Source organism: Homo sapiens, chromosome 9 (assembly GCF_000001405.40).
Source record: "Homo sapiens chromosome 9, GRCh38.p14 Primary Assembly".
Lineage (NCBI taxonomy): Eukaryota > Metazoa > Chordata > Mammalia > Primates > Hominidae > Homo > Homo sapiens.
The window spans coordinates 128,038,639-128,059,576 of record NC_000009.12 but is presented as its reverse complement, the minus strand read 5'-3'; the positions used below and the strand labels follow the sequence as shown (position 1 = coordinate 128,059,576).

Here is a 20,938-nt window from a genome sequence, read left to right as displayed (position 1 = left end):
AAGAACCTTGGCTCAGAGACTGGAAGACTTAAACTCAGCTGGAATCCGGATCCTGCACCAAGGATGACTGCTTCTCTGGAGTTTCTGCTGAACAGTTGGGAAGTCCTGCCAAGCAGGGATACTCCTTTAAATAAGACTGGCCTTCCTTCTGGAGGGATCTCAGTATTCCTGGGCATAGCTATCACTCTCACCAGTATTTAGTAACAATAAAAACTAACAATTATTGGCCAGGCGTGGTGGCTCACGCCTGTAATCCCAGCGCTTTGGGAGGCCGAGGCGGGCGGATCACGAGGTCAGGATATCGAGACCGTCCTGGCTAACACGGTGAAACCCCGCCCATCTCTACTAAAAATACAAAAAATTAGCCGGGCGTGGTTGCAGGCTGCTGTAGTCCCAGCTACTTGGGAGGCTGAGGCAGGAGAATCACTTGAAGCCAGGAGGTGGAGGTTGTAGTGAACCAAGATCACACCACTGCACTCCAGCCTGGGCAACAAGAGCAAAACTCCGTCTGAAAAAAAAAAAAAAAAAAAATTGGAACAGGTGTGGTGGCTCACATCTGTAATCCAAGGTGAGGAGGTCAAGATGGGAGGATCACTTGAGCCCAGGAGTTCAAGACCAGCCTGGGCAACATAGCAAGATCCTATCTTTACATATATGCAATATATATATTTAAATACAGGATGAGAATGGCGTGAACCCCGGAGGCAGAGCTTGCAGTGAGCCGAGATCGTGCCACTGCACTCCAGCCTGGGCAACAGAGCAAGACGCCATCTCAAAAAAAAAAAAAATTAAAAACTAACAATTATTGGCCGGGTGCGGTGGCTCATGCCTGTAATCCCAGCACTTTGGGATGCCGAGGCGGGCGGATCACGAGGTCAGGAGATCGAGACCATCCTTGCCAACATAGTGAAACCCCATCTCTACTAAAAATACAAAAATTAGCCGGGCATGGTGGCGCATGCCTGTAATCCCAGCTACTTGGGAGGCGGAGGCAGGAGAATCCCTTGAACCAGGGAGTTGGAGGTTGCAGTGAGCCGAGATTGCGCCACAGCACTCTAGCCTGGCGACACAGCAAGACTCCGTCTCAAAAACAAAAACAAAAACAAAAACAACTAACAATTATTGAGCCCCTAGTCTACTGAGGCCTTATAAGCATTATCTCATTGACTCCTTGCAACAGCCCCAGGAAGTAGGCACTAACATTGTTCTGTTTGCAGGTGAGGACATTGAGAATCAGAGAGGATTAACAATTTGCCTAAAGTCCCACAGCTACCTTATTACCCAACGTAGCCCATGCTGTTAGCTACTGTTCTTAACTACTCTGACCTTGCTGCCAGTAAGATTTGAGGTCACCTAGAGATGATTTGAGCCTGACCTGACCGGGAGGAGTAGTGTCTAGATCAAACGAGGCCTAGAGGCAGCTTGTGTTAGTATTCTTTTTTTTTTTTTTTTTGCTCTGTCGCCAGACTGGAGTGCTGTGGCACGATCTCGGCTCACTGCAGCCTCTGATTCCCTGGTTCAAGCAATTCTTCTGCCTCAGCCTCCCAAACCTTTTATATTTTAAACCCTTTTGATAGCCTTTTGGAAAGGCATGCTTTGTAAACTGTATTTTAGGGGAGAGTACTTTCTTTTTTTGTTTATTTGTCTTGAGACAAGTTCTCACTCTGTTGCCTAGGCTGGAGTGCAGTGACACAATCATGGCTCACTGCAGCCTTGACCTCCTGGGCTCGAGAGATCTTTCCACCTCAGTCTCCCTAGTAGCTGGGACCACAGGAGCCCATCACTATGCCCAGCTAACTTTTATATTTTTTGTTGAGACTGGGTTTTGCCAGGTCAGCCAGGTAGTCTCGAATTCCTGGGCTCAAGTCATCTTCCTGCCTCGGCCTCCCAAAGTGCTGGGATTACGATGTGAACCGTGGCATCCGGCCAGTTCTTTCTTCAATAATGTTTGCCCAACAGATCTACAAGGCAGTGCTGGGAATAGCTCATGCTCAATAAATACAGCTGCTGTCATCGTCATTACAGTGGCCGATAATCCGAAGTGGTAACTACCAAGTCTTGATGTCACAATGGGAGCTCTGTGGTTTGAATGGGATTACAAAGGATGCGACCCTGGAACTAGAAGGTGGCAGGGGCACAGAAAGCAGAGTGGGAAGGACTTAAGGCTGACTGGGGACATGGGAACCAAGGCCAGTACAGGGAAGAGGCCACCGCCAGGAGGCTGTGGCTGCAATTGCTCTGAAAGAGGCGGGTGCGCAAGTTGGAGACTGCTGAGCTGTCCCCTTACCTTAGTCCATGAAGACAACAGGCTACAGTGAAAGTAACAGTGAAGCCTGTAATTGCTTACTATGCTGGCGTAACCAAGAGGAGAAAACGCCACTCCCCTTATGTTCCATTTTTTTCCCCACAGGACAGCACCAGGTAAGGGTGAGATGTATTACACAAGGGGGTGTCTTCTCACTGCTGAGGGAATCCTCAGGAAAAAAAGACTCCTGCTGTTTTATGGCCTTGGTGGGGGTCGGAGGGGACAAGAGGGAGAAGGGCTAGGAGTGGAAAATTACTGATAGTAAAGAGTGTTCAAGATTCCTTTCACTGGCTGGGCTTGTGTAATCCCAGCATTTTGGGAGGCCAAATCAGGAGGATCTCCTGAGCCCAGGAGTTTGAGACCAGCCTGGGCAACAAGGCAAAAATCTGTCTCTACCCAGAAAAAAAATAATAATAAAAATTAAAAAAAGAGGGAAATACAAAAATTAGGCCAGGCACAGTGGCTCATACCTGCAATCCCAGCACTTTGGGAGGCCAAGGAAGGTGAATCACTTGAGGCCAGGAGTTCGAGACCAGCCTGGCCAACATGGTGAACCCTGTCTCTACTAAAAATACAAAACTTAGCTGGGAGTGGTGGCAGGGGCCTATAATCCCAGCTACTCAGGAGGCTGAGGCAGGAGAATCACTTTAGCCCGGGAGGCAGAGGTTGCAGTGAGCTGAGATCACGCCACTGCACTCCAGCCTGGGCGACAGAGCAAGACTCTGTCTCCAAAAAAAAAAAAAAGGAAAGAAAAGATTCCCCACATGCCACACTCCTGCCAGGAGGTCCTGGCAGAGGCACCTGGGTAAGGCTTCAGTTGAGACCCCCTGATAGGGGCCACCGAATAGAGGCACCTGGGCTGGGTCTGCAGTATGTGCAAGGGCATGACCGGCTGGGGAGCTGACTCCATGACTGCAACTCACTGGTTGTGTCTCAAGTCTGGTGTGGGGAGGGCAGCTGCCCCCTCCTGCCACCCCACTGAGGCCTGCCAGGCTCAGCCTTTGTCATTGCTTCTGGTTGGGACTGAGAGATCACATGTAGGCTTGTGGCCAGGAGCCAGGCTCCTCACAAGTAAATGTGGGGGCTTCAGAGTCTGCCTGTCTCTAACTTCCCGACTGTGCTCTAGGATGGGATTATTTAATTTCTCTAAAAATCCTTCTCTGATAAGGAGGATGGGTGAAGTTAACAAGCTGTTGCTCACAGAACACAGAACACAGTGGGGGACACACGGCAGGTACTCAACACCAGTAGCTGCTTGCTTCAGTTGTCTTTGCTGTGTAACAAGCCAACTTGAAACTTAGTGGCTGAAAACAATGATCATTTATTTGCTCATGATTTTGCAATTTGATCAGGTCCCAGAGGGAACAGCTTGTCCTTTTCTCAGTGGCAGCTGGACCTGCCCCTCTGGGGCTGGGCCTCTACCCCTAAGACGGCTCACTCACATGCCTTGCTTGGAAATCTCCCTGAACTGCCTTCCTGACCCTTGCAGAAATTCTAGACCAATCAGTCGAGGTTCTCAGAGGGTGCGAAAGAGTGCCTGCTGGGAGGAACTGGCAGGGACAAACCCAGTCTTTTGGTTAGAGATGATGAACTAACTTCAGTATGGAGGTTTACAAAGGGGGATGTGGTTCTCAAAATGGTCTGTCCGGTGGCAGAGCCCTAGAGGCTGTGCCAGAATGTGCTGGTTCCCTGCCCCACCTCTTCCCCTGCCCAGCTCCTGGGTAGCCTCCAGGGCTCTGCTTATTTCCTCAAGAGGTCTTTTTCCAGCTCCCACCGGTCCAGGCTAGCTCTCACTGCTGCTCATGCCCATGGCCCCCTGGACGTCCTCTCTCTTAACTCTCATGCTACCTGGAGTCGCTTCTTCCCTTCCCTCCCCTCCTCCCTCCCTTCCCTTCTCTTCCCTTCCCCTCCCTTCTTCTCCCTTTCCCTCTCCTCCCCTTCCCCCCTCCCCTCCCCTCCCCTTCCTCTCTCTCCCTCTCTCTCTTTCTTTTTAGAGACAGAGTCTCGCTCTGTCGCCCGGGCTGGAGTGCAGTGGTGCGATCTTGGCTCACTGCAACCTCCACCTCAGCAATTCCTTCAAGCGATTCTCCTGCCTCAATTTCCCGAGTAGCTGGGATTACAGGCATGCACCACCATGCACAGCTAATTTTGTATTTTTAGTAGAGACGGGATTTCTCCATGTTGGTCAGGCTGATCTTGAACTCCCGACCTCAGGTGATCCGCCCACCTCAGCCTCCTAAAGTGCTGGGATTACAGACATGAGCCACTGCGCCCGGCCTATTTATTTTTTTAGACAAAGTCTCGCTCTGTCACCCAGGCTGGAGTGCAGTGGCGCGATCTTGGCTCACTGCAAGATTCGCCTTCCAGATTCAAGCGATTCTCCTGCCTCAGCCTCCTGAGTAGCTGGAATTACAGGTGCCCACCACCATGCCTGGCTAATCTTTGTATTTTTAGTAGAGACGGGGTTTCACCATGTTGGCCAGGCTGGTCTCGAACTCCTGACCTCAAGTGATCCACCCACCTTGGCCTCCTAAAGTGTTGGGATTACAGGCGTGAGCCACCGTGCCCGGCTGAGTTGCTTGTTTTCCTCACTGGTTGATCTTTGGCTCTGGGACCTTGTCTATCTTGCTCCCTGCTGCAGTGGAACTCTGGGAGAGGCACTTTCATTCCGTTACCCAAGCTGGACACTTGGATGCCTTCCTTGGTCCCACCCACTGTCTCTCTTCTCACATCTTGTTCTGAAGATGCTCTTCCTCCCTCCCCCACTCCCACGTTCTCTATCACCCATGATACCCACAGCAGCCTCCTTACTGGCCTCCTGCCTCCAGGCCCTGCTGAGGAGGGTCTTCAGAAGCAAATCTACCCATGCTGCACCCTGTTCCATCCTTCAATTATGTCCCTTAACTCCCCGGATAAAGTATCAGCTCCTTAATGTGACCTATCGCCACTTCCCTCCTTATACTCTGCATTCCAGTCACATCAAGAAAGTTTACTTCCTTAAAAATATTGGGCTCTTCAAGATCATGCCACTGCATTCCAGCCTGGGTGACAGAGCAAGACTCCATCTCAAAAAAAAAAAAAAAAAGGGCTCTTTTCCTTTGTTTGTTTGTTTGTTTGTTTTTGAAACAGGGTCTTGCTCTGTTGCCCAGGCTTGAGTGCAGTATGGCAATCTCGGCTCACTGCAACTTCTGCCTCCCTGGAATCAGCGATTTTCCTGCCTCAGCCTCCTGAGTACCTGGGACTACAAGGGCATGCCACCACACCCATCTAATTTTTTGTATTTTTAGTAGAGATGGGGTTTGCCATGTTGGCCAGGCTGGCCTCAAACTCCTGACCTCAAGCCATTTACCCGCCTCAACCTCCCAAAGTACTAGGATTACAGGTGTGAGCCACTGCGCCTGGCCCAGGCTCTTTTTCTAGCCTCCAAATCTTTGCCTTTGCTGTTCCTCTTACTCAGAACAACTTTCTTCCTCATTACTTTCGTAACTCCTATTCACCCCTCACATCCAGCGTGGATCTCATCACTTTCTATAGGGAACTTCGTTGGGTCACACCCGGCCTGTGTTTCCTCTCACGTGTTTAGGCACACACATGTAATCGTACGGTTTAAATGTCTGTGTCCTGCTATAGGAGGGTTTCTCAATCCCAACACAATTAACATTTTGGGCTGGATATACTCTTTTTTTTTTTTAATTGAGACGGAGTCTCGCTCTGTCACCCAGGCTGGAGTGCAGTGGCGCGATCTCGGCTCACTGCAAGCTCCAACTCCCGAGTTCATGCCATTCTCCTGCCTCAGCCTCCTGTGTAGCTGGGACTACAGGCGTCCGCCACCATACCTGGCTAATTTTTTTTTTGTATTTTTAGTAGAGACAGGGTTTCACCATGTTATCCGGGATGGTCTCCATCTCCTGACCTCATGATCTGCCCTCCTTGGCCTCCCAAAGTGCTGGGATTACAGGCAGGAGCCACCACGCCTGGCCACTTTTTTTTTTTTTTTTTTGAGATGGAGTTTCTCGCTTTTGTTGCCCAGGCTGGAGTGCAATGCCATGATCTCGGCTCACCGCAACCTCCGCCTCCCGGGTTCAAGTGATTCTCCTGCCTCAGCCTCCAGAATATCTGGGTTTACAGGCATGCACCACCACACCCAGCTAACTTTGTATTTTTAGTAGATATAGGGTTTCTCCATGTTGGTCAGGCTGGTCTTGAACTCCCGACCTCAGGTGATCCGCCTGCCTCGGCCTCCCAAAGTGCTGGGATTACAGGCGTGAGCCACTGTGCCCGGCTGGATACAGTTTTTATTGTGGGGGCTGTCCTGTTCACTGTAGGATGGTTAGCAGCATTCCTGGTCTCTATACACTTGATGCCAGGAGTAACCAGTCCCCATTCCAGGTTTTTGTTGTTTTTTTTTTTTGAGATTGAGTCTCACTCTGCTGCCCAGGCTGGAGTGCAATGGCATGATCTCAGCTCACTGCAACCTTTGCCTCCCAGGTTCAAGTGATTCTCCTGCAGCCTCCCGAGTAGCTGGGACTACAGGCACATGCTACCACAGCCGGCTAATTTTTGTATTTTTAATAGAGACAGGGTTTCACCATGTTGGCCAGGGTGGTCTTGAACTCCTGACCTCAGGTGAGCTGCCCACCTTGGCCTCCCAAAGTGCTGGGATTACAGGAACAAGCCACCGCGCCCGGCCCCTCCAGTTGTGACAATCAGAATATATTCAGACATTGCCTAATGTCCCCTGGCGGGGGGGGCAAGATCACACCAGTTGTTTTGCCAGCTGTCCTACAAAGACAACATCTGTTTTATTCCCACTTTTCGAGTGCATAGCATAGTCCCCGAGCTGAGAATTTAATATACCTTTTATTGTGATGTCGGTTGCGTTGAACGCTGACAGGCTTCCTGTAAACCATTTTGCATTTTCCACATTTGAGACAGGAAGAGACTAAAGAGCCAAAACTCACCTGATGCCACAGGTTTTGTAAATGGCAAAGCTGGGGGTCCGCCCCAGGTGTGCCTGGCTGCACAGCTGCCTTTGTGAGTCAACCTCCCATGACAGCGTGAGCATGAATCAGCCTTCCGGAGCTGCTCCTGTCCCCTGGACCTGGGACAGGTGGATCAGGAGCCCCACCTAGAGTAGCCCGGCCCCATATGGGTGCTGTGACCTTGGGGAAGTCCCACTTCCCTCGCACCTCCATAGTGCTGCCAATTCCCCACCTGTGTGGCCTCTGAGGGCTGATGAGAAGACTCAGTGAATCAGTGAAGGCCATAAATGGTGTCAGGAGCTGCACACGGGTGAGGAGGAGCCCCAGAGCCCTGCACAGGGCCTGGCCTGAAGACAGCAGGAAGGGCCCCACCTGAGGACCCATCATGACTACACAGCTCTCCAAGGATTCTGCCAATCCCAGCAGCATAAACTCAACTGCCTGCAGCCTACAGCCACTCAGGCAAATATCCCTGGGCTCAGACAAGGGTCCGAAGCTTGCTCCTGTAGGAGGCCGGTGGAGGTTGAGCCTGGCTTCAGGTGATCTTGATGATCAGGAATGTGGGCCTGTCCTGCCTGTTTCTTTCTTTCTTTCTTTTTTTTTCTGAGACGGAGTTTTGCTCTGTCGCCCAGGCTAGAGTGCAGTGGCGCCATCTTGGCTCACTGCAAGCTCCGCCTCCCGGGTTCACGCCATTCTCCTGCCTCAGCCTCCTGAGTAGCTGGGACTACAGGCGCCCGCCACCACGCCTGGCTAATTTTTGTATTTTTAGTAGAAACGGGATTTCACCGTGTTAGCCAGGATGGTCTCGATCTCCTGACCTTGTGATCCGCCCAACTCGGCCTCCCAAAGTGCTGGGATTACAGGCGTGAGCCACCGCGCCTGGCCTTGCCTGTTTCTTTTTACAAAAGAAGCCAGAATTCCAGGTTTTAACAGGAAGCTCCCAGTTTACACATATTGACTACTAAGTATTTGTAAGCCTCCTATAAGACAAACAAAACACTCCGGTGGGCTGGCTTCAGTCCATGAAAATCTGTTTGCAAGTTCCAGACCTTAACCATTTGGGGCCAGTTGTAGCCCACTGGGAGGAACCAGAGGTAGGCAGCTGGAGGCAGAGGTTGGTAGCCAGGTGGCCTGGGTGCCAGACCCCTTTTCCCCTGCACCTCACTCTCCCCATCCATACAAGGTGGGGTTGGCCATCTGAGCTACAATGGTCCCTAGTAAGGATGCCTCCTCCTTTGCCCAGGCTGGCCTGACTCACTGGGACAACTAGGCTGGGCTTTTTGCTTTGCTCTCAGCTGAGTCAGTGTGGATGCATGCTGGCAATAATACATGACAGGCCACCTGCCTGTCAGGAATCAAGCGCGAAAGAGAACTGGCTGCCACAAGGAATCCCACTGAGGCTGAGGCCAAGGTGGGGTCCAACAGTGTCCTGATCTTCCCGAATTTTTTTTTCTTAAGACAGAGTCTCACTCCATCACCCAGGCTGGAGTGCAGTGGCATGATCTTGGCTCACTGCAACCTTCACCTCCCGGGTTCAAGCGATTCTCCTGGCTCAGCCTCCCAAGTAGCTGCGATTACAGTCATGTACCATCACGCCTGGATAATTTTTGTATTTTTAGTAGAGATGGGGTTTCACCATGTTGGCCAGGCTGGTCTCGAATTCCTGACCTCAAATGATCCACCCACCTCAGCCTCTCACAATGCTGGGATTGTATGCATAAGCCACTGTGCCCAGGCTTTTTTTTTTTTTCCAGACAGAGTATTGCCCTTTCGCCCAGACTGGAGTGCAGTGGCATGATCTCGGCTCACTGCAGCCTCTGCCTCCTGGGCTCAATTGATTCTCCTGCCTTACCCTCCTGAGTAGCGGGGACTACAGGAACATGCCACCACGACCAGCTAATTTTTGTGTTTTTACTAGAGACAGGTTTCTGCCATGTTGGTCAGGCTGGTCTTGAACTCCTGACCTCAAGTGATCCACCTGCCTCGGCCTCCCAAAGTGCTGGGATTACAGGCTTGAGCCACCACACCCGGCCCTTCCTGATCTTTTCTGGCTGTTTTAATGCCTGCTCAGTACTCAGGCCTCATCTCAGCGGTGGCATTTGGTCTTGTTTTGGGGAACCATCTTTCCTCCACTCTTAGTTGTAAAATGAAACAATCCAAATGTAAACTAACTCAAAGCCGTTTGAACTTTAAATCATTCTGAGCCTGAAGAGAAATGTGGCTATGCAGCCTGAGTCTTGTGATATACAGCTGTCACTTCTGCCTTTTTTCCTGTAAATAATTAGGACTAAGTGGCACCAGAGATAAGAACCCCTCAGATCATTGCCCCTCCTCAGGGAGTAATAAAGGAAACTTCTTTGGAATGTAACAGTCTGTAACCAATCAGATCACTGGGGTGTATGCACGGGTCTTCTGTGGAAAATGTAATCCTGCTAAAATTTCTGCCTCTGCCTATGTAAGTGAAACCTTAACTTCTCCACTGTCTTTTTTTCTTTTCTTTTCTTTTCTTTCTTTCTTTCTTTTTTTTTTTGACAGAGCCTCACTCACTCTGTCACCTAGGGTAGAGTGCAATGGCGTGATCTTGGCTTCATGCAACCTCCACTTCCCAGACTCAAGTGATTCTCATACCTCAGCCTCCGGAGTAGCTGGGATTACAGGCGTGCACCACCATGCCGGATAATTTTTTATTTTTAGTAGAGACGGGATTTCACCATGTTGGCCAGGCTGGTCTCGAGCTCCTTACCTCAAATGATCTGCTTACCTCAGCCTCCCAAAGTTCTGGGATTACAGGCGTGAGACACCGTACCCGGCCAACTTCTCCACTTTCTTTTTCTTTTCTTTTCTTTTTTTTGAGATGGAGTTTCACTCTTGTCGCCCAGGCTGGAGTGCAATGGTGCAATCTCAGCTAAGTGCAACCTCTGCCTCCCGGGTTCAAGCGATTCTCCTGCCTCAGCCTCCTGAGTAGCTGGGATTACAAGTGACCGCCACCATGCCTGGCTAAGTTTTGTATTTTTAGTAGAAACAGGGTTTTGCCATGTTGGCTAGGCTGGTCTCAAACTCCTGACCTGAGGTGATCACCCGCTTCTGCCTCCCAAAGTGCTGGGATTACAGGTGTGAGCCACCGCCCTCAGCCAACTTCTCCACTTTCAAATGCTGACCCCATTTGTTTGGATTTGGTGTTACCCAGGTGGCTATCCTCAAGCTTCACACTCAGAGAAATTCTCTAGTTAATCATATTTGCTAAATCTCAATATTTAAGGTTGACACAGTCCATGCAGTTTGGAGACAGGATCCCAATTCTGGCTCCCATGATGAGGATGTGACCCAGAGCTGGCCCACAAGGGTTACACATCCTCTGCCCATAGTGATTGGCTGACCCACAAGGGTTACACATCCTCTGCCCATAGTGATTGGCTGACCCACAAGGGTTACACATCCTCTGCCCATAGTGATTGGTTCAGGTATGAGCACATGACCCACCCAGACCAATGAGACTCCACCCTAGACTTTTGCTCTTTCCATTGAAGTTTTCAAGGTGGAAGGATCAAAACCTGAGGTGCTTGGGGATGGGGGTGTTACCCAGGGGAAAGCTAAGTAGAAGACAGAAAGATTTCAGCTGGATTTTTTTTTTTTTTTTTTTTTTGAGACAGAGTGTTACTCTGTCACACAGGCTGCAGTGCAGTGGCACAATCTTGGCTTACTGCAACCTCTGCCTCCCGGGTTCAAGTGATTCTCCTGCCTCAGCCTCCTGAGTAGCTGGGATTACAGGCATGTGCCACCATACCCGACTAATTTTGTATTTTTAGTAAAGACGGGGTTTCTCCATGTTGGTCAGGCTGGTCTCGAACTCCCAACCTCAGGTGATCCACCTGCCTCGGACTCCCAAAGTGCTGGGATTACAGATGTGAGTCACCGCACCCGGCCAACTCAGATGATTTATATTACTTGTAACCAAGAGATCCTTCCCTAAGATGTAGTTTATTTCAAGGTCTCAGTTTCCTTATCTGTAAAATGACAGTGCTGTGATTCAGGACACCCTCCTCCAACATGCAGCTGGTCCTCACAGAAGAGCCCCCACTGAAACCACACCTTCCAGCAGGAGAGGTCTCAGTGACATGGGGTACAGGGGACAGAAGGATTCTGCTACAACAATGTTTCTCAAACTTTGATGTGCAATGAGATTCCTGGAAATCTCCCCCCCAACTTTTTTTTTTTTGAGAGAGAGTTTTAGTTTTGTTCCCCAGGCTGGAGTGCAATGGCACCATCTCAGCTCACTGCAGCCTCTGCCTCTCCCGTTCAAGTGGTTCTCCTGCCTCAGCCTCCCGAGTAGCTGGGATTACAGGTGCCTGCCACCACGCCCAGCTAATTTTTGTATTTTTAGTAGAGACGGAGCTTCACCATTTTGGCTAGGCTGGTCTTGAACTCCCGACCTCAGGTGATCCACCTGCCTTGGCCTCCCAAAGTTCTGGGATTACAAGCATGAGCCACCTCACCCAGCCTAATTCCTGGAAACTCTTTAAAATGCAGATTCCCAGGCCCCACACATGGAATCTCTTCTATCTGTGAAAACATCACCATAATTAAGACCATGAGAATTGGCTTGGTGCGGTGGCTCATGCCTGTAATCCCAGAACTTTGTGAAGCTGAGGCGGGTGGATCACCTGAGGTCAGGAGTTCAAGATCAGCCTGGCCAACATGGTGAGACCCTGTCTCTACTAAAAATACAAAAATTAGCCAAGTGTGTTGAGGCAGAAATTTAAAGAAAAATAAATACTGCGTTTATTCACTCCAAGGAAAGTAAGGGTTAAGCGAAAAACACGTTTTTCACTGCTGCAAGCAAGGCTATAGACAGGTCGTGGTGACCTAGCCTGCAGAAATCAGCTCCAGACACCCCCGAGCAAAGTTAAAAGAAGAAAAACAAATTCCTTTACTGTCTCTCATGTACTGAACTATTAGTTATGGCCATGTTTGCCAATGGTTGTATTTAGTAAGATTTGCAAAGTTCCTGCTTTTCTTTCGATGCCACTGCTAGGCCACTAGCTATGCAAGGCCATAGGTTAGTGCCAGGTCAGCAGCTATACTATGGATTATGTGACTTGTCACTGTAAAATTCACTGCCTTTGTTTTGCTTTTGTATGCTAGCCTATATAAGCTAAAATCTGTTTTTGTTCAATGCTCAGCTTTTTGGATGTGAATCCACTGAGCCGGTGTGCACCTTAATAACCATCCTCCTGTATTCACCCATATTGGTCTCTCTGGTCCTCTGTTTCCTGCAACAGTGGTGGTGGACGCCTGTAATCCCAGCTACTCGGGAGGCTGAGGCAGGAGAATCACTTGAACCCGGGAGGCAGAGGCTGCAGTGAGCCAAGATCATGCCACTGCACCCCAGCCTGGGCAACAGAGCAAGACTCTGTCTCAAAAAAAAAAAAAAAAAAAAAAGACCATGAGAATTGTCATAAAAAGCTCCATCACTGCCAAGTTTCCTGGTGACCCCTGTATATAATCATCCCTCCTTCCCCATTCCCATTCCCTCTCCACGCCCTCCCGCCTCCACTCCAAGCAGTCACTGGTCTGCTTTCTGTCACTGTAGATTAATTGCATTTTCCAGAATTTTACATAAATGAAATCATGCAGCCTGTGCTCTTTCTCTGTCTGGCTTTTTTCACTCAGCCTAATTATTGTGAGATGCATCCATGTTGTGGGTCTTAATAGCTCATTCACAGCCTCGGCAACAGAGCAAGACCTCTCAGAAAAAAAAAAAGTTTGCTCCTTTATCACAGAATTGTTATACCATAATTTGTTTATCTATTCAATCGCTTTTTTTTTTTTTGAGACAGAGTCTCACTCTGTTACTTAGACTGGAGGGCAGTGATATGGTCTTGCAACCTCTGCCTCCCAGGTTCAAGCGATTCTCCTGCTTCAGCCTCCCGATTAGCTGGGATTACAGGTGTATGCCACCATGTCTGGCTAATTTTTTTGTATTTTTAGTAGAGACGGAGGTTTCACCATGTTGGCCAGGCCGGTATCAAACTCCTGACTTCACGTGATCTGCCCGCCTTGGCCTCCAAAGTGTCAGGATTACAGACGTGAACCACTGCACTAGGCTTCAATTGCATATTGATGGATATTTTAGTTGCTTCCATTATTTAGTAGCTATGAACCCTTGTTGTACAAGTCTTTGTGGGGACACATGCCTTCATTCCTCTTGGCTAAATGCCCAGGAGTGAAATAGCTGGATCATATGGTTAGTGTATGTTTAACTGCCACACTGTTTCCAATGTGGTTGTACCATTTTACATTAGTACCAACAGGGTATGTGAGTTCCAGTGGTTCCACATCCTTGCCAACATTTGGTGTATGGTCAGTTGGTCAGTCTTCCTAACTTTAACCATTTCTAGTAGGTGTGAAGTGGTATCTCATTGTGGGTTTTTTTTTTTTTTTTGGAGACAGGGTCTTGCTTCGTCACCTGGGCTGGAGTGCAGTAGCACCACCTCAGCTCACTGCAACCTCTGTCTCCCAGGTTCAAGCAAGTCTCATGCCTCAGCCTCCCGAGTAGTTGGGACTACAGGCGTGCACCACCATGCCTGGCTAATTTTTGTATTTTCAGTAGAGACGGGGTTTCGCCATGTTGGCCAGGCTGGCCTTGAACCCCTGACCTCAGATGATTCATCCAACTTAGTCTCCCAAAGTGCTGGGATTACAGGCGTGAGCCACCTCACCTGGTGTCATTGTGGTTTTAGTTTGCATGTCACTAAGACTAATGGGGTAGAGCTTCTTTTTAAGTGCTTATTTGCCATTTGTATACTTTTGCTTTTTTTTTTTTTTTTTTTTTTCTTTGAGACGGAGTCTTACTCTGTTGCCCAGGCTGGAGTGCAGTGGTGCAATCTTGGCTCACTGCAACCTCCGCATCCCGGGTTCTAGTGATTCTCCTGCCTCAGCCTCCGGAGTAGCTGGGACTACAGGCGCCCACCATGACACCTGGCTTTTTTGTATTTTTAGTAGAGACGGGGTTTCACCATGTTGGCCAGTATGGTCTCGATCTCTTGACCTCATGATCCACCCGCCTTGGCCTCCCAAAATGCTGGGATTACAGGCGTGAGCCACTGCGCCTGGCCTTTGCTTGTTTGTTTGTTTGTTTGTTTGTTTGTTTTGAGACAGGGTCTTGCTCTGTTACCCAGGCTGGGGTGCAGTGTCACAATCACGGCTCAATGCAGCCTTGACCTCCTGGGCTCAAACTATCCTCTCACCTCTCAGCCTCCGATTTGTTGGGACCACAGGTGTGCACCACCATGCCTGGCTAATTTTTGTATTTTTTTGTAGAGACAGAGTTTCGCCATGTTGCCCAGGCTGGTCTTGAACTCCTGGGCTCAAGCCATTCACCTGCCTCAGCCTCCCAAAGTGCTGGGATTACAGGTGTGAGCCACCATGCTCGGCCTGTTTTTTTTCTTTTAGAGACAGCATCTTGGCTTTGTTGCCCAGGCTGGAGTGTAGTGGTGCCATCATAGCTCACTGCAGCCTTGAACTCCTGGGCTCAAAAGATTCTCCCCGCTATGCCTCCCGAGTAGCTGAGATTATAGGTGTACACCACCATGCCCAGCTGAGCCGTCTGTGTATTTTCTTTGATTAAGTGTCTACTCTTTTTGAATTGTCTTCTTCTTACTAAGTGTTGAGAATTCTTCGTATTTGGTTGCTTAATTACTACTGGGTTAAAAAAAAAGAATTCTTTTTATATCTGTTTCCAAGTTCTCTGTCAGATATATTTTTCACAAATATTTTCTCCTAGTCTGTTTGCCTTTCTATTTTTCTTTTTTTCTTTTTCTTTTTTTTTTCTGAGACAGAGTCTCACTGTATTGCCCAGGCTGGAGTGCAGTGGCACGATCTCAGCTCACTGCAACCTCTGCCTCCAAGGTTCAAGCAATTCTCCTGCCTCAGATTCCCGAGTAGCTGGGACTACAGGCGTCCATCACTATGCCTTGCTAATTTTTTTATTTTTAGTAGGGACAGGGTTTCACCATGTTGGTCAGGCTGGTCCCAAACTCCTGACCTCAGGTGATTACCTGCCTCGGCCTCCCAGGGATTACCTGGGATTACAGGTGTGAGCTACCTCGCCCAGCCACCTTTCCATTTTTCTAGCAAGCTCCACAGACAGTGGAGTCTGAGAATCTCTCTTCAATGACAAACAGTGCAAATTAAAACAACAGCGAGAGGGGTGGCCTATTGGACTAGCAAAGACAAAAAAGAGGGTCCAAGGCATTAGCGGTGATAGGGGGTGGGGACAGCATTCCTCAGACTGTTAGGAGGGGTGTAAATTGGTGCAAAATCCCAAGAGGACAATTTGCTGATGGCGTCTCAAAAAATCTTTAGATGAAAGATTTGAAGTTCAGTACGTTCAGTTCAGTTCCAGAAATTTTTCCTGAAAAAGTAAGCAAGAACAGTAGGTTGTCTGTCCAGGATCTTCAGTCCTGGGGGTGTGCTGAGGGGAGGGGCTGCAGACGTGCCTGGCTGGCCGTCCTTGCGATCTTGGTGCTCTGTTCCCGGGTGGCTCAGGGCCCTTTTGCCGTCAAGCATGGTTGGAAGGCTCAGAGGGCCTGGGAGGTCAGTGGGGCTGGAATTCGATCTGTCCCCAGCAGAGTGGGTGGAGGAAGGCGTGTGCAGGTCTCACTCTATTGCATCCAGAGTCCAGATCCACTGTGGCCCTGGCCTGGCCATTAGAGGGCTCTGGGATTCAGGTTCTAACCAGCTACCACCAGTGCAAACTGGGAACTGGGGACAGGGCTGACACAGCTTCCTGGACCCTAAGAAGGGACAACCCTTTGCTCTTCAAGCACTAATAATTTCCCTGGGACTCAGGGAGCTGGGGCTTTGGCCAAGGTCTGGCCAGCTCTGCTGAGGATTGGTGGGAGAGGGGATCTGGGAGCCTGGACACCTGGGTTCTAGATTACATCCTGCCCTGCTGTGCTACTTAGGGCAAGCCCCCTCCCCTTCCGACGCACCAGTTTCCCTAGCTGGGCAGTAAAGGAGGTGGATCAGAGACTCAGTTCCCTCTGGCCCCTCCAGTGGGGATTGAAAGCACAGGTGCCAGAACTAGCCAGACCTGAGGCCTACTTCTAGCTCTATCACTTTCTTTTCTTTTCTTTCTTTTTTTTTTTTTCTTTTTGAGATGGATTCTCGCTCTGTCCAGGCTGGAGTGCAATGGCTCGATCTCGGCTCACTGCAACCTCCGCCTCCCGGGTTCAAGCGATTCTCCTGCCTCAGCCTCCCAACTAGCTGGGATTACAGGCACCCACCACCACGCCCAGCTAATTTTTGTATTTTTAGTAGAGACAGGGCTTCACCATGCTGGCCAGGTTGGTCTTGAACTCCTGTCCTCAGATGATCCCCCTGCCTCAGCCCTACAAAGTGTGGGGATTACAGGGATGAGCCACCGTGCCTGGCCCCCTTTTTTTTTTTTTTTTTTTTTTTTGAGACGGAGTTTCACTCTTGTTGCCCAGGCTGGAGTGCAATGGTGAGATCTTGGGACACTGCAACCTCCACCTCCTGGGTTCAAGCGATTCTCCTCCCTCAGCCTCCTGAGTAGCTGTGATTACAGGCACACTCCATCACGCCCGGCTACTTTTTGTATTTTTAGTAGAGACGGGGGTTTCACCATGTTGGTCAGGCTAGTCTCGAACTCTTGACCTCAGGTGATCCACCTGCCTCAGCCTCCCAAAGTGCTGGGATTACAGGCATGAGCCACTGCACCCAGCCACCTCCATCACTCTCTGTGACTCAGTTTCTTTCTCTACTTAAAGCGCTGCAGTGGCTCCTCATTGCACTTTGGGAAAAGGCTATGTGTGATCTCTGTTCCTTCCTACCTCTCTGGTTCCAGTTCCTGCCACACTGCCCTCATCCATCAGACCCCAGCCACACTGGCTGCACCGCCTTTCAATGCAGGGGGTCTCTAAATTCCTCCTCCAATCCCAGGGCCGTCGTAAATGCTCTTGCCTCTGCCTTGCCTGTTTTCTCCGACTCTCCCTGGAGAGCTCCTATTCATTCATCACAGCTCAGATGCAACTTCCTCAGGGCAACCCTCTGTGACGCCAGACACAATCACTCCTGTGGCTGACCCCTTTCATAGCACAGCTGTGATCATTAAACAATTTTTTTTTTTTTGAGACAGAGTCTTGCTCTGTCGTGACCAGGCTGGAGTGCAGTGGTGGGATTCGGCTCACTGCAACCTCCACCTCCCAGGTTCAAGTGATTTTCCTGCCTCAGCCTCCCAAGTAGCTGGGATTACAGGTGCCCGCCACCACGCCTGGCTAATTTTTTGTATTTTTAGTAGAAATGGGGTTTCACCATGTTGGCCAGGCTGGTCTCGAATTCTCGACCTCAGGTGATCCGCCCGCTTTGGCCTCCCAAAGTGCTGGGATTACAGGCGTGAGCCACCGCAGCTGGCCTCATTAAACAATTTTATCTGCAAGATTGTTTGATGTCTTCTCCTCTGTGGCTCCCTGATATCCCTCAGGGCAGGGCTGAGTCAGTCTCTTACCCCTTGCACAGGCTTGGCATAGAATAGGTGCCTGTTTCAGGAAAAACCCTCTCAAACCACCACAACAGTCATCAACATAGAAGACTTCTGTGACCAAATGTCTGGGGGGTTTTCCCCATGCACCAAGCATCAGACACTAGGTAGGTGTCCTCCAATTCACTTTGCACACCATCTATCTGGAGATAGTGTCAGATCCCACAGGTTGGAGAATCAGTCCCCAAGACTACCCACCACCCCCACTTCAGACACCAGCAGCAAGTTCAGGCCTCTGGAACTTCTGACTGATGGGCTTCAAGTTGGGGTTCCCATGATTCCCTCTTTGGGTTTGATTAATTTGCTGGAGTGGCTCACGGGACTCAGGGAAGTGTGTTTAGTGGTTTATGATATAGGATATTGCAAAGGATACAGATGAAGAGATGCACAGGGCGAGATACAGGGAAAGTAGCGTGGAGCTTCCATGCTCTCCCCTGGCAGCTGCCCTCCAGGAACCTCAGCATGGTCAGTTATGCGGAAGCTCTTAGAACCTAGTTCTCTTGGGTTTTCATGGAAGCTTCATGATGCTGTCATTCCTTCCCCCAGGGTGTGAGGTGGGACCCTCTCACAGGAGGAGAGCCTTAAAATCCAAGATCAGCTGCTATAAAGACACATGCACACATATGTTTATTGCGGCACTATTCACAATAGCAAAGACTTGGAACCAACCCAAATGTCCAACAATGATAGACTGGATTAAGAAAATATGGCACATATACACCACGGAATACTATGCAGCCATAAAAAATGATGATGTACAAAGGACATGATGAGTTCATGTCCTTTGTAGGGACATGGATGAAATTGGAAATCATCATTCTCAGTAAACTAGCACAAGGACAAAAAACCAAACACCGCATGTTCTCACTCATAGGTGGGAATTGAACAATGAGAACACATGGACACAGGAAGGGGAACATCACACTCTGGGGACTGTTGTGGGGTGGGGGGAGGGGGGAGGGATAGCATTAGGAGATATACCTAATGCTAAATGACGAGTTAATGGGTGCAGCACACCAGCATGGCACATGTACACATGTGTAACTAACCTGCACATTGTGCACATGTACCCTAAAACTTAAAGTGTAATAATTAAAAAAAAAAAATCCAAGATCAGAAGGGGCAAGGTGGTTCATGCCTGAAATCCCAACATTTTGGGAGGCCAAGGCAGGAGGATTGTTTGCCTCCAGTAGTTCAAGACCAGCCTGGGCAACTTAGTGAGACCTCATCTCTACAAAAAATAAAAAATTAGCCAGGCATGGTGGCGTACACCTGTAGTCCCAGCTCCTCAGGAGGCTGAGGTGGGAGGATCACTTAAGCCCAGGAGGTTGAGGCTGCAGTGAGCCTTGATTGCACCACTGCACTCCAGCCCGGGTGACAGAGTAAAATCCTGTCTAAAAAAGAAAGTTGGGGGGAAGATTAGATTAGAGTCCTGCCTTAAGGCAGGTGAAAGGAAGGCAGGAAAAGGTCAGAGGGATTCTGTTTCTTGAGGCCTCACACACCTAACATTATAACAAAAGAGTGCCCTAGTACTTTTGAACAAGGTACCGCTGACACCATCTTTCATTCACTCTCAGATGTGCTTCCCCCGCTTCCCATGTTACCATCTCTAAAATCAAGACATATTTTGTGATTGTTGTGACTGGGTGGCAACTATGCCATCTGCCTCAATGCTTGCACATGTGCATCAACACTTGCAGCTTGAAAGGACATTGGGGACAGCAGTGGTGTGCTCTGAAGAAAGCCTGCGTTTCCTGAGGACAAGATTGTCTGGAAAAGCACAGACTCAACAGCTGTGAATGAAAAATTGACCCGGGAAAGTCAGACTCTGCATGTGGAGTGTTAGGAACACCTTCGCTAAATTACCTTGATTGCAATTTCCTTTTTATTTATTTACTTTTTTTTTTTTTTTTTTTTTTTTTTTTTTTAGGCTGGGCACGGTGGCTCACGCCTGTAATCCCAGCACTTTGGGAGGCCAAGGCGGGTGGATCACCTGAGGTCAGGAGTTTGAGACCAACCTGGCCAACGTGGCGAAAACCCATCTCTACTAAAAATACAAAAATTAGCTGGGCGTGGTAGCACATGCCTGTAATTCCAGCTACTTAGGAGGCTGAGGTATGAGAATCACTTGAACCTGGGAGGTGGAGGTTGCAGTGAGCCATGATCACGCCATTGCACTCCAGTTTGGGCAACAGAGTGAGACTCCATCTCAAAAAATAATAATATAGCTACTAATTTTTCTTTCTTTTTGAGACAAGGTCTCACTCTGTCACCCAGGCTGGAGTGCGGCAGCACCATCACAACCCACCGCAACCTCCACCTCCCTGGGCTCAGGTGATCCTCCCACCTCAGCCTCCCGAGTAGGGGAGACTACAGGCACATGCTACCACGCCCAGCTAATTTTTGTATTTTTTTTTACAGACGAGATTTTGCCATGTTGCTTGGGCTGGTCTCAAACTCCTGGGCTCAAGCGATTCTCCCACCTCAGCTTCTCAAGTACCTTCAATTACAGACAGGAGCCATCTCATCCAGCAATTTCCTTTTTATGTATTCACAATGTATAGTAGATGATAAAAGCCTATTTAAGTAAGTTTAAATACCTGTGTGTTTAAGTGCCTTACCTGTTTAAGTAAGTTTAAAAGAGGGCCTTCGGTAAATATAAAATAAAGTTTCTTTTTTTTGAGACGGAGTCTCACTCTGTTTCCTAGGCTGGAGTGCAGTGGCTCGATCTCAGCTCACTGCAACCTCTGCCTCCTAGGTTCAAGCAATCCTCCTGCCTCAGTCTCCTGAGTAGCTGGGATTACAGGTGCATGCCACCACGCCCAGCTAATTTTTTTATTTTTAGTAGAAACGGGGCTTCACCATGTTGGTCAGGCTGGTCTCGAACTCCTGACCTCGTGATCCGCCTACCTCGGCCTCCCAAAGTGCTGGGATTACAGGCGTGAGCCACCGAGCCTGGCTAAAATAAAGTTTCTAAGTGATAAGGAAGCAATAGTTTTTTTTTTTTTTTAAATCTCGGCTCACTGCAATCTCTGCTTCCCGAGTTCAAGCAATTCTCCTGTCTCAGCCTTCCAAGTAGCTGGGATTACA

The 20,938-nt window shown here is 49.2% G+C and overlaps 4 annotated features.

Annotated features, from left to right (window-relative positions):
- Positions 3,614–4,511: an enhancer, noted in NCBI's record as "H3K4me1 hESC enhancer chr9:130817345-130818242 (GRCh37/hg19 assembly coordinates)". NCBI's record gives its function as "activates a minimal SCP1, AML or CMV promoter by ChIP-STARR-seq in naive and primed H9 embryonic stem cells {active_cell/tissue: H9 hESC(naive and primed)}" and the evidence as "EXISTENCE:reporter gene assay evidence [ECO:0000049][PMID:30033119]".
- Positions 10,631–10,760: a silencer, noted in NCBI's record as "silent region_20322". NCBI's record gives its function as "represses an Ori minimal core promoter by ATAC-STARR-seq in GM12878 lymphoblastoid cells {active_cell/tissue: GM12878}" and the evidence as "EXISTENCE:reporter gene assay evidence [ECO:0000049][PMID:35858748]".
- Positions 10,631–10,947: a biological region, named in NCBI's record as "Sharpr-MPRA regulatory region 5179".
- Positions 10,653–10,947: an enhancer, noted in NCBI's record as "tiled region #5179; HepG2 Activating non-DNase unmatched - State 10:DNaseD, and K562 Activating DNase matched - State 8:EnhW". NCBI's record gives its function as "activates a minimal TATA promoter and a strong SV40 promoter by Sharpr-MPRA in HepG2 and K562 cells {active_cell/tissue: HepG2 | K562}" and the evidence as "EXISTENCE:reporter gene assay evidence [ECO:0000049][PMID:27701403]".